We start from the raw sequence: 13,934 nt of genomic DNA, 5'->3' as shown, positions 1-13,934 counted from the left end.
TTAAATAAATCAAAGAACAACTAAATGAGCGCTTACCTCATTTGTTTCCCTTCTCTTTGGGTCACAATCCTCTGCTTCCTGTTGCCTGATATCCTAAAACAGTTTCTCCTTTGTTTTGTCCAGTTTTCTCATTGTTTACTGTGGCAGTTACTTCATCACAGCCAGGGCAGCAGTCATGAATTTTACTGTTTTACAAATTTGCACATTTATTTTGAAGTAAAATACAGATTATTTTCAAGTTTGAATGTTTTGTAAATATTTAAAATTAAATACAAATATTTGTTATAAATTTTCTAAATATTTTTGCTGGTAGGATGGTGCGGAGTTTTACCAGGCTGGCCATAACTGGATTCATAGTGTTACATGAAAGGGGACTCCATCCAGACCCCAAGAGAGGGTTCTTGGATCTCGCGCAAGAAAGAATTCAGGGTTGAGTCCGCAAAGTAAAAGCAAATTTATCAAGGAAATAGAAGAATAAAAGAATGGTTACTCCATAGACAGAGCAGCCCCTAGGGTTGCTGGTTGCCCACTTTTATGGTTATTTCTTGATTACATGCTAAACAAGGGGTGGATTATTCATGCCTCCCCTTTTTAGACAATATAGGGTAACTTCCTGGCATTGCCTTGGCATTTGTAAACTGTCAGGGTGCCAGTGGGAGTGTAGCAGCAAGGACGACCAGAGGTCACTCTTATCACCATCTTGGTTTTGGTGGGTTTTGGCTGGCTTCTTTACTGCAACTTGTTTTATCAGCAAGGTCTGTATGACCTGTATCTTGTGCCTACCTCCTCTCTCATTCTGTGACTTCGACTGCCTTAACCTCCTGGGAATGTAGCTCAGTAGGTCTCCGCCTCATTTTACCCATCCCCTATTCAAGATGGAGTTGCTCTGGTTCATACGCCTCTGACAATAGTGTTCCAAGAAGGTTCAAATAGATGCCTACAAAGCTTTTGAATAGAAAGTAGTAGTGCATAATTATCTGAGCTTTATGCCATGTTTCTAGGATCTGGGAAGCATTCTTGCTTTCTTTCAGCCTAAAACAACTATTTTATTCAGAAACTTATGCTATTATATTTTAAAGATATTTGAAGATTTTAAAGACATAGCTATTATATTTTAAAGCTATCATAGTAAGATCTGGGCTTGCCTTAAATATAAATATTTTAGACAAATCTCCTAATTTTCTTCTCTCCAAATCACTTTCCTGGAAATCATGAATGCCTGAACCTTCACCATTAATGATAGGAAATGGAAAATGAAGGAATGAAGGACTTTTTAAAAATTGAGGCATAATGCAAAGAAAAGGGTAGCACATTAAGATAATTACAACCATGGACACTTTTGTAAATTGGTCGTATTTTTCCCCCTTTCTAATTGAGTTTTAAACCCAAGCTTTTGTTAGGAATTAAAAGTGAACCAATACATTGGGCTCTTTAATAAGGAGAATGATCTGAGGAAGCAGCCCTAGAAAAACAGATGAGAACTGAATACTGTCTGGAGGAGGACGGGCACAACCAATCAGAAATGGCAACAGTCAGAAAGAACCAAAGATGAAAACAACGACCACTACTACTACTATGACTACTACTATTTCTACTACTACTTTGCAGAAGTAGCAGAAGAAAGGAAATAATAAAAATAGAGCAGAGCCAAGGGCAGTGTCATGTACCTGTAATCCCAGCTACTTGCGATGCTGAGGGATCCTTTGAGCCTAGGAGTTTGAGTCCAGCCTGAGCAACATAGTGAGACCCTGTCTCACTATGTGGTTCCCAAATTGTGGTTCCCTCCTCTTCTGTTATATATTTGTTCAAGTTATGCTGCTGGTAGTTGTTTAAAAATTGTGTTTCTATATACAAATGATAGCTATAAAAATAAGACTTGGTTTAAAATAACTAAGCCTTCCTTTAAGCAGGGAAATGAAATGTACACTCAGTACCATCTTGATACTAAAGCTATTCAAAAAATGCTTTAGGGACAGTTTGCCTGATAAGTTAGCCATGAATTTTCAACCATGATAAACCAGAGCTTTTTAGATTTATATAAGAGGGGTTCAGGAATTCAGGCAGCTATGATTTACACTGAAGAAAATATTAATAGTAAAAACCACAAAAGTTGATCAGTTAATTTTATTCCTTTGGTTACTCGTATTCTCTAAAGTATTGATTCTACTCTATTTAGCTGTTAGCAAATTCCAGAAGTGCTTCTGTACAGACTGGCCTCATTTTAAATTCAGCATTGGCAATTTCAAGTGGGTCCTGATGCTTCCTGGAGTCCTGGGACTCATACTGGATTTCTCTGTCTTTTCCCTTTCCTGCTTTTTTTAGATGACTATTTTATGCCTTCCTTCACTTCTGAAATTTCCCAAAGATGTTTTCTACCATCCTCATGCTCAGCTGATGAATCTTTCTTCCTACTTTGCAGAGATAATGAGAGCAATCAGAAGCTCCCATCATTGTTCCTGGGGGATCATTTGCCTGCACTTCCAGCAGAGGCCATCTCCTCCCCTCGTCCCACCCTGTAGTAGCTGGCTTGGGCTGCCATAACAGAACACCACAGACTGGGTGGCTTAAACCATAGAAATTCATTCTCTCACAGCTCTGGAAGCTAGAAGCCCAAGATCAAGGTGGTATCAGGATTGCTTTCCTGAGGCCTCTTGCTACATTCTTGCTGTTTCCTTTCCTGTGTGTGCATACAGAGAGACAGGCAGAGAAAGATGGGTGTCTCTTCCTCTTCTTATAATGACACCTATCCTGTTGGAGTAGGGCCCCACCCTTATGACCTCATTTTGCCTTAATTACCTCACCAAAGGCCCTATCTCCAAATACAGTCAAATTGGGGTTTAGGGTTGCAACATAACATAGGAATTTGGGGAGGACACAGTTCACTCCATGACATAGCCCTCCCCTTAACTCAAGGACATGTCTCTAGGAAAGCTCTGGCATCATCTGGTTTTTTTCCTCCCTCTCTACTGCTAGATCTTTCCTATCAGCCTACAAACATGCTGTTAATTTCCTCAACTTACCAAAAAACAAAACAATTCACCTCTCTATTCACCCGCTTCTTGGGCAGCTTCCATCTCATTTCTCACCTTCCCTTTTAATAAAATTCTGAACAAATTCCAATGCCTCTCCTCTCTGAATTTCCTTTAATCCAGATTTCATGTCTCCCACTACAACAAAATTTCTTTTATCCTTATCACCAGTGACCTCCATGTTGCCAAACTACTGTGATCAATTCTCAGGCCTCACTTTCTATGGCCTCTCTGTAGCATTTGACACAACTGAGTAGTCCTTGAAACACTTTTCTTCAGTTGGCTCAAGATTCCGTATTATCCTGATTTCTTTTTTTTTTTTTTTTTTTTTTTTTTTTGAGACGGAGTCTTGCTGCATCACACAGGCTGGAGTGCAATGGCACGATCTCAGCTCGCTGCAACCTCCACTTCCCAGGTTCCAGTGATTATTCTGCCTCAGCCTCCCAAGTCGCTGGGATTACAGGCTTCCGCCACCACGCCCAGCTAATTTTTTTGTATTTTTAGTAGAGATGGGGTTTCACCATGTTGGTCAGGCTGGTCTCGAACTCCTGACCTCAGGTGATCCACCTGCCTTGGCCTCCCAGAGTGCTGGGATTACAGGCATGAGCCACCAGCCTATCCTGATTTCTTGACTCTGTGGCTATTACTTCTGTCTGTTTCCTCCTCATGTCCCAGCCTCCTAACATTTGCAGGCCCAGGGCTGAGTATACTTAGACCTCTGCTTTCTTGTGTATACTTGGGATCTCATCCAGTATATACACTGGATATCTTGGGATCTCATCCAGTAGCATGGTTTCACACACCCTATATAAACTGATGACTTCTGAATTCATAGTTTTAACCTAGACCTTAAACCATAAACTCAAGACTTGAATACCCAGATACTTCAATACTGCACATTTAATAGGCATCTCCAAGTTTAATAAGTACAAACTTATTAAACTTCTCTGCAAACCCTATTTCACCTGTAACTTTTCCCATGTTAGGTAATGACAACCTCATTCATCTAGTTGCTTAGGACAAAAATCTTGAAGTCATCCTTGACTCATCTCTTTCCATTATACGGTATGTCCAGTTGGTTCTACTTTCTAATTTTTCTCCAATCTGACCCCTTCTCACCACCTCCTCTATTGCCATCCTAGATTATTTGCAGTACCCTCCTAACTGTCTTACTTGCTTCATTCTTGCCCCAAACAAAAGCTGGAGTGGCCTTATTAAAACCTATGTCAAAGGATATATTTCTCCTATACTGAAACCCTGAAATGGTTTGGGTGTGTGTCCCCGCCCAAATCTCAGGTCAAATTGTAATCCCCAGTGTTGGATGTGGGGCCTGGTGGGAAGTGGTTGGATCATAGGGGCAGATTTCCCCCTTGGTGCTGTTCTTATAACAGTGAGTGAGTTGTCATGCAATCTGGTTGTTTGAAAGTGTGTATTACCTCTCCACCTCTCTTTCTCCTGCTCTGGGCATGTGAAGATATGCATGTTTCCCCTTCAACTTCCACTGCGATTGCAGGTTACCTGGGACCTCCCCAGCCATGCTTCCCGTACACCCTGCAGAACCATGAGCAAATTAAGCCTCTTTTGTTTATAAATTAACCCAGACTTGGGTATTTCTCTTTTTATTATTTTTATTTGTATTTTTTTTTCTTTTTCAACTTTTATTTTAAGTTCTGGGCTACATGTACAGGATGTGCAGTTTAGTTACATAGTAAACGTGTGCCATGGTGGTTTGCTGCACAGACCAACCCATACCTAGGTATCAAGCCCAGCACGCATTAGCTATTCTTCCTGATGCTCTCCCTCCCCGCAACCCCCAACAGGCTCCAGTGGGTCCCGCCCCCATGTGTCCATGTGTTCTCACCGTTCAGCTCCCACTTACAAGTAAGAACATGCAGTGTTTGGTTTGTAGCAGTGCAGGAATGGACTAACACAAACCCCTTCAGTGGCTCTGTTTCAGTGATCTTAAAAGCCGAATTCCTTACAATCACGTTCAACACCGTGCAGGACCTGGTTCTCTCACAGCCCTGTGTTGTCTGAAGGAGCCAGTGCTCCACTGGTTGCACTGATCCAACCACACTGACCTCTACACTGTATTGTATTTTATTTTATTTTATCTTATTTTATTTTATTTTATTTTTTGCGACAGAAGCTTGTGTTGCCCAGGCTGCAGCACAGTGGCACGATCTCAGCTCACTGCAACCTCCGCCTCCCAGTTCAAATGATTCTCTTGCTTCACCCTCCCAAGTAGCTGGGATTACAGGCATGCACCACCACACCTGGCTAATTTTTGTATTTTTTGTAGGGACAGGGTTTCACCATTTTGGCCAGGCTGGTCTCGAACTCCTGGCCTAAAGTGATCTGCCAGCCTCAGCCTCCCAAAGTGCTGGATTACAGGTGTGAGCCACTGCTCTTGGCCTCCATACTGTGTCTTGAACATGCTGTGCATGCCTCTGCCTCAGGGCCTTTGCATGGGTTCTTCCTTCTGCCTGGAATGCTGTTTCCCTAGAGGTTACCCTCATCTCCTACAGGTCTTTGTTCATACGTCACCCTCTCAGGGAGGCCATCTGTTACTTCAGTATTTTTAAAATTATAAAGTACCCCCTAACTTTTATCACTTCCTCTCTCTCTTTCTTGATTGATACTTCTCCATAGGCCTTGCACCATGTAACTTTTCAAAGTTACTTTGTTTACTCTCTAGATGTTTCATAAAAATGGAGAGAGATTCTTGGCTGTTTTGTTCATTGCTGCTGTCCAGCTGCCTAGAGTGGATGAATGAATTGGATATTTAGTTATAAAGGAGCTTCATTGGGTTTGTGAGATTTGGGGGCTGGCCATAAACTCATGAAGAGTAGCTCACACCAAGACACAGGCCTTCCTGCACTAACTATTATCCGTGACTCTAGCATTTTTAGGGAAAAGTAACCTCATCTTTATGACACTAGAATTAATTTTTAGATTTTCTAGTGGGTGAATATTTTTAAAGCACTTAGAACAGTGCCTGGGACATGGTATGAGTTCTATTAAGCGTTTATTTTAAAAGCAACAAATACTTTATTAAGCATTTTGTGACAAAAAAAAATAGTGACAGAATGTGAGCCAAGACAAATAAACCTCAAGAGGTTCAGAGTAGCCCTAATTCTGGTGGAGAGTGGCTTTAATCATAATAGAGCTGGAGTCAAGTCTGATGACTTACTAGAAAAATAGCAATAGTCACATGCCCTCTCTATTCTGGAAGAAACAGAACTACCCTGTGTACTCGATGGGATTATAGATACAAAGAGATTTATGGAATGAACTCTAAAGAATTGGTTTTGAACTTAAGTCCGTAAAAAAATGGTTATGAAAAGAAAACTTCAAAGGTATGGACTGAGGCGATAGAAGAGGCAAAGGGCTTGTACGGCATCCACTCATTCATTAGATGGACAATTATGCCCCAAACACTATGTTAGGGGCTAGGAGCTGCCTTCTAGGATCTCATTATCTAGTGGGAAAAAGACAGGTTAACCAACAATGACTAATTCAGCCTTAGTACTACCATAGAGGTGAGCCTGGAGTGGGCTGTGAGCACGGGATTGCTTCCTCACCCTATTTGTGATATGAAAATAAACAAATCATTTGCTTCCAACTAAAGGTAGTGGACAGAACTCACCTGTTTTTATCTCTACTCCCTGAGGAAGTCCCATCAAAATGAAAGTAAGGAAATTGAAAAAGGCATGAACCAGTGGTTTTTAACCTTGGCTGAACTTTTGAAATAGCAGCAGAGATTTTTAAAAATCCTAGTGTCCAGCCTGTAGCCCAGATAAATTGAATCAGAACCTCTGCAGATGAGACTCAGGCATCAAGATTTTTATACTATATATTTTTTCAAAGAAAATAAGAGACAACCATACACATAAGAAATCAATAGCATTGAGAACTTGAAAAAGGCTGGGCCTGAAATTAACTTAGCAGAACTAATAATCCTAAAAACTGAACAATTTCTGGGGGAAGGAAGACCTGAAGGATACCCATTAGAAGCAGCAAGATCTTTCCTGTGGTAGAACTTTGGGAAGGTTCAGGAATTGGAGAGACTGGGTATGGGGTGAAGTGAAGAACTGGAAGATTGGTTGAAAGTCTGCATTTGGGACAGATGGCCCAGATTTTATCCCAAGACTGCCCCCATCCCTATCCCTGGTTTGTTCTCTGGAGAGGTGGAATGAGAAAGGGCCTCAGGTACAGTTGAGGAGAAATGTGAGGCTAGCCTTGCACGAGAGTCACTCTCCTGAACACCTTGATGCCCTTCTGAAAATACTGGCCATCAGATTTGTGCTGCCTGGCAGGAAACTGGAGGATGCAGCTCTGGGCAAACTGATCCAAGAGGGAAATCCAGTCAGATGCTGGCATGGGAGAGTCCAGGCCCCTTTGTAACACACCCTGCAGTGATGCCCACCCATCCACAAACCCATACATATATGCAAGATTCTTCTATCCAGCTTTGGAGACCTCACTTTGAATAAGAAAGGACATCAAAGATCACCAGATATTTGAGGAAAGTATCTAAAGTGAAAGACAAAGACCAAAACAGACAGGTGAAAGTAAATAAACAAAGGGAACTCAGAAACACACACACACACTCTACTGAGCAGAAAAAAATTAAAATATATGTGTAGATAGATAGTTATAGACATATAGACAGATGATGGATGGATGGATGGATGGATGGATGGATGGATGGATGGATGGATGGATGAAAGGAACAGTAGATAGATAGATAGATAGATAGATAGATAGATAGATAGATAGATAGATAGAAGGACTGTATTGCAAGGCATGACGCAGTGCTCTCACTGGTGGAGCACCTGTGCTCTGCAGCCAAAGTGTGAGTTTGTGTCCTGGCTTCATCACTTCCTAGCTGTGTGATGCTGGGCAAGTTACTTACCCTCTCTGTGTCTTCGTTTTCTCATCTGTAAAAAGAGGGATGTTAATGATGATGCTGTTCAAAGAACAAAAAGGAACTGTTGGGAATTATGAATATGATGGCAGAATATAAAGTTTTAGGTAAAAGTTGAGGAAATTCTAAGAATAATCAAAAAGACAAATGGAACATAGAAACAACAAGAAAAAGAGACACTAAATCTAAGAGGTACAAAATCAGAGTTGCAGGGAGAGACATACTCAGGGAGAGAAACAGACGTACAGAGAGACGAGAGAAATCATGAGAGTAATGACCAGCCTTTCCCAGTAGTAAAGGACACAAGTTCAGAGTGAAAGAGCCTCTTTAGTGCCCGCATGATTGATGGGGAAAAGACACAGTCTAGGGCACGTCACTGTGACATTTTTAAACCTTGACGATGAAATAAAGATCCCAAAAGTTTCCAGAGAGCAGAAAACAGATCACATAAAAAGAATTGGAACTTGAGTGGCAGAGGGGATAACCAAGTTCTAAGCAATGTGGACTGATTGTGGAAAGGCCACCCTATTTCCAGGACATAAAACTTAAAACTTGTTTGATTTAGATACATTTGTCACTGTAAAAATTAGCTCTTATGTATTTGGCAGAGTAGGGGCTCACCTCTGCTCAGTGATTCTCAAAATCCCATATCTCCTTTGTCCAGAAGCATCTATTCCTTTTATTTTTTTAATTAAGGTGAAAAAGTATTAAATTTACCTTCCTTTCTTCTTCCTTCACTTCCCTCTCCCTTTTCCTTGCCCCTCTTGTTTCTTCTCTCTTTCCCTTACTTTACCTTCTGAGCCTTCATACTTTTGCTGTGTCTATTTCTGTCTCTCTTTCTCCCTTTCTCTTTCTATCCACAGAAGTCTTATGTTTGTCTAATAATTGGCAGAAGAGATCTTTTTTTTTTTTTTGCTTTTTAAGTGATGAATAGTTGGCGTAACATCAAAGACAAGCCCTGTGGTTTTCTGGCTGCCCCAGAAGGGCGGTGCAGCTGGCAGGCATCCCAGCTGCCTGGTGATAGGCATGTGGAAGAGATACCAAGCTCACAGGTCACTGTGTATGTGTTCATGTACATGTGTTTTTCAGGCCAACAGCAAGCTGAAGCAGATTGAGAAGGAATACACTCAGAAGCTTGCCAAATCTTCACAGGTAAGCAACATTAAAAGACACAAAACAGGGTAAAACCAAAACAAAAATGAAACCTCCACATAAAAGCCTTGGCACTTTCAAGTTAAACTTCATTCTTTTCAGTTTTTTTTTGTGGAATGGTATCATATTTTTATGGGTATACAAATAAACAATATGGTTTTAATATTTCAGTCATTAAAAATCAAGAAAAATTAGGCATATTTAACCATTTGAAACAACACACACATGCACACACACACACATACACACACTCTCAGATGTTGTAAAACCAGCCTATACACTTGAACAAGCCCAGGCTGAAACATACTTCACAAGGACAGGAGATACACACCTACATTTGTGATGTAAGCAGTTTGGTACTATCTGTGCTTTTTTGGTAATACTCCATTTTGCTCTACCAAAGGCTTCTTCAAACAAAATTCAAAATGACAAATAATTCTAGGTTAAGTCTGCGGCTCAACTGTTGACTCTTTTTAGGACAAAGAGAATTCTAAGTCCCTACATCCATAACTTGCTATTTGTACTTACTGTTGTAGTTTTAGTATAAGAAAGGCCAATAATTGAATGCCTGTCTCTATTTGAAATATGATGCTCAGAGTACTTTTTCAGCATAAGTTATTATAGTGATATCCAGTAGTATCATTTAAGGAACTCCAAGTATTCCTTACTTGTATAAGTGATTCTAGAACAAATAAATACTACTTATCTTTACTTTGCAGGTAGGTAAGTTAAGCCATTTGGTTTTGTGAGCATATCTAATGATTGTTAAAATCAGCTTGTCTTCATATTTTTATATATATATACAGTGGTATTTGGTTAGTAAACTAGAATTTACCATACTACCACATAATGCCACATAATAGTAGTAACAACAACAACAAAAAGATAATAATATCTAATGTTCATGGGGCACTAACCATGTTGACTCATTCAGTCTTTCACAATAACTCTGGAATTAGGAACTATTACTGGTGCCATTTTTCCATTTGCGAAAACTGAGATTTAGAGAGATAAGATCACACAAGTTGGCAAGTGACTCAGCCAGGACCCAGTCTGGATCTGACTTCAAAGTGGAAGTTCTTAACCTTAACACTACCAGCCTGGCCCAATCCCTTCCTTTTATTTTATTTTATTTTATTTATTTATTTTTTTTTGAGACAGAGCCTCGCTCTGTTGCCCAGGCTGGAGTGCAGTGGTGCAATCTCGGCTCACTGCAAGCTCCACCTCCCTGATTCACGCCATTCTCCTGCCTCAGCCTCCCGAGTAGCTGGGACTACAGGTGCCCGCCACCACGCCCAGCTAATTTTTTGTATTTTTAGTAGAGACAGGGTTTCACCATATTGGTCAGGCTGGTCTTGAACTCCTGACCTCAGGTGATCCTCCCTCCTCATCCTCCCAAAATGCTGGGATTACAGGCATGAGCCACCGCACCTGGCCTAAAATTTCAGTTCTACTAATTCACATCCCATTAGAAAAGCAAAAAGTCTTTGTCCAAATGAAGAGTCGTATATGTTTATGTAAGAAATGATGATTATGTCTTGATTGCCATTATTCCAGCCCTTCCTTGAGGAAGGAACATGGAGAAATATCCTTTTAATCCACTGAAAAAGATTCTTGCAATCAAAAGAAATCTATTTAGGCCAAAAGTTAAAGTTTAAATTAAAACATTAAAAATCCCCAGTTGGCATATCCTAACATCCTGCTTATTTCGCTTTACGTTAAATGGGGGAAGCAGACCGAGAGTGAGATATAAGATAGCTAATAAAAATGCCTAAATAATGAGAGTGTAAACAGGAGTATTTATCTAAAGGAATGTATGAAGAAGCCTGATTAGTTGATGTTAAAACAAATTAAATGTAAGTTAATGCAGAAGAAAGCCTGAGCTCTGGAGTCCAGCACCCCTGGATTTGAATACCAGCCCTACCACTTCCGTGACCTTGAGCAAGTTACCCGCCCTCTTTGGAATTCAATTTCCTCATTTGTCAAATGGAGGAGCAGTACTAACCTCATAGGATGGTTTTAACTATTAAGTAAAACAATGCCAAAAATGTGTTCAGTATAGTACCTAGTACACACTAAAGCACTTAACGAATGTGAATTATTATAGTATCAGCACTAAAATTGCCATAGAGAAAGAGGAAAGGAGGCAGGGAAGAATGAAAAAAGGTTTGGAAGGTGGAACAAATTATTGCTTCAGACACCATGTTTTTGGGTGTTCACAAGGTGATAAAATCTCCCTGAAAAGCTTGGAGAGGCACAGGGTTGCTAACTGTTTTCCCAAGAAAAGACTTGAAGGTGGAGAAGGAAAAAGCAACTAGTAACAACTATCATATACTATTACCATCATTTCATTAATCAAGGGACAGCGCAACACCAAAAAATTCTTAGAAAGGATGTAATATAATCAAAGATAGTCCATCCTTCTCATAAAAGTTAGGATGATAACCTTACATTGATAATATTTTGTTTGCCAACTTCTAAATATTTATATCTGTGAACTGGCATTTGAGAAGCATTAGTCTACAATGCCAGTCAGTTCAGAGAAGCATGTCAGATTATTTAAAAATGAGCATTATAAAACAAGACTGTGGATTGGATCTCTCCATATTTAAGTGATAGTTTGTTGGAATCTCTAACTCATATCTCATTAGGCTGATGAGAACACTAAAAGCAAAGTGCTTAACTCTGTTGGGTTTTTAAAAATCCCTCTCTGAAAAAAAGAAAATGAATGCATTAGTAATGAATGTGTTGGTACCTCAGAGAGCATAAGATTAAATTTGGAAAATATTTTAAAGATTTTCCTCCTTTAGAGGAAGCTGCTTACTTTTCATGATTTTATCAAGCCTGTAGGACCTAATAGACCGTGTACACTGAAACTTTGGCACACCTGAGACCTGTGCCCCGTTCTGAGATCTGCAGCACTCACCCTCGCCACCACTGCAGTGTTTGCATCATCTCTGGGCACGCCCCCAAATATCATTTCCATCAGAATCACATTTTTTTTTATCTTAAGAAAAGAATGGAGACGATGCATACACTGCAGTGGTGGTGAGTGCTGGAGTTTAGTCCGCTTAAAACATTGAAATAATAAGTGATTATGTATTAACCTTGCCTCTTCAATATTAATATAGTTTTCCCCACTCAGCCTAGTCACCTAGTGGCCATTTTTCAAGGAAAGATACTGCCATTTTGCCAGAATGTCCATAGTTAGAAACATGGGCAGGACTGAAGTTGGAATGTCAGTTGAGCTTGCCTGCTGCCAAGGGACGAGTGTCTCCTACCACTGTCCCACACTACCCAATGCCTGATGCATATTAGTACCTGGGAATATTCCACATGACCCCTGTGCCCATCTCTATGCCAGCCTCCTGGGGGCCAACCCAGAATGCACAAGGCATCCACTTATTTTGTGAGGAGCGTCAGTGTTCACCTAACGTTCCTAAGCATGGCTTCTTAAGTAGCTTGTCTTCTTTATTGTATTATATTTTAAAGAAGAGTTTTATAAAAGTCTCAAACTGTACTACAAACTGAAAAGCAATAGAATGAGTTGAAGATGAAATCCTAACCCCTATTTAGGATCCTGTTTTTGTTTTTTTTTTAAGACCACTAACATTTTTGCAAAGCGTTAATTGCTTAACAATTATTATTAACTATTATGACTTTCATGAGTTCGGATGCTTACACCATCAGCTCAAAATAGCTCTCCTTTTTGTTTCTGAAAATACTAATTTTTAATATCCATATGAAAATTCTCTAATCTGCTTCTTTCATTGAAACTAATACAGTATAAACATTTAGTTGAGTGCTAGCATTTTGTTCTATGGTTTTTAATTATGATTCAATCAAAACTGGAGGGTTTTGATTATGATTGTATATATTAGCTTTCATTTTTCTTAGAAACTTTTAACATTATTATTCTATGAGAAGGGTAGGTTATCTGAATTCAATTTGCCAGGTGATGGCTTTTTATTACTTACCATGATTATAGTTCTACCACTTAAACTGGGTGCCAGTTATTACATACACTGAGCTAAGGAGAAAGTAGTCCATTTTCTTATACTCTGGGTCTACAACCAGTAGAGTTTTGTTCCTTACCTGAAGCATGTTAATCTGATTATTATGATTATTTCTCAATCTTAAAGTATTAAATCTTGTTTTTTTAATTATCCTTATTTTAGTTACTGTTCCATATCCGTATCACCTGTGAGTCTTTTAACCAAATAATTTATCTATTTATCTAGCCAAGTGTTTCACCTGAAGTGTTTTAACATTCTGCCCCTTATATCGCCTTCCTAAGTTTTAAAAATATCTTTCCAAAAATAATCTCATTATTTTCCCCAGAGGAATCTCTCCTTATTCCCCCAAAGAATGTAAGGTTTTATTTTCCACACAAAAGCAAGCACGTCCTTCTTAGAACATCCTGGACTTCACTTGTAGTCCTTTCCAAAACCTGCATTTTTTTCTTTTCTTTTCTTTTTTTTTTTTTTTTTTTTTTTGAGATGGAGTTTTACCCTTGTTGCCCAGGCTGGAGTGAAATGGCGCAATCTTGGCTCACTGCGGCCTCCGCCTCCCGGGTTCAAGTGATTCTCCAGCCTCAGCCTCCCTAGTAGCTGGGATTACAGGCATGTGTCACCACACCCAGCTAATTTTTTGTATTTTTAGAAGAGACGGGGTTTCGCCATGTTGGCCAGGCTGGTCTCGAACTCCTGGCTTCAGGTGATCCGGCCGCCTCAAAACCTGAATTATTTTGTCCTAAATGTTCTGAAAATGAGAAATGTCCCTGTTCCATGGCCTTTGACCGTTTGAAGTATCCCAGGATATTT

General features: G+C 39.8%; 1 protein-coding gene across 23 annotated transcripts in view; it reads left to right on the top strand.

Annotated features, from left to right (window-relative positions):
- CEP112 (centrosomal protein 112) overlaps positions 1–13,934 on the top strand; it is a 556,597-nt gene that overhangs the window by 432,361 nt on the left and 110,302 nt on the right. For 18 of the 23 annotated variants that reach the window (XR_007065281.1, XR_007065280.1, NM_001353128.2 and 15 more), the window contains one exon: positions 9,049–9,111. The exons of 4 other annotated variants lie outside the window; for them this stretch is intronic. Coding sequence is in view for 16 of the 19 variants with exons in the window: in NM_001353128.2 (NP_001340057.1) it covers positions 9,049–9,111 (63 nt within the window). In the remaining 3 variants the exon portion in view is untranslated. Of the gene's footprint in view, positions 1–9,048; positions 9,112–13,934 lie in introns of those variants that run through there. One more of the 23 variants, XR_007065282.1, reaches the window with a different exon arrangement.

The sequence above is a fragment of the Homo sapiens genome, chromosome 17 (assembly GCF_000001405.40).
Source record: "Homo sapiens chromosome 17, GRCh38.p14 Primary Assembly".
Lineage (NCBI taxonomy): Eukaryota > Metazoa > Chordata > Mammalia > Primates > Hominidae > Homo > Homo sapiens.
This window is presented reverse-complemented; position numbering and strand designations above follow the sequence as displayed.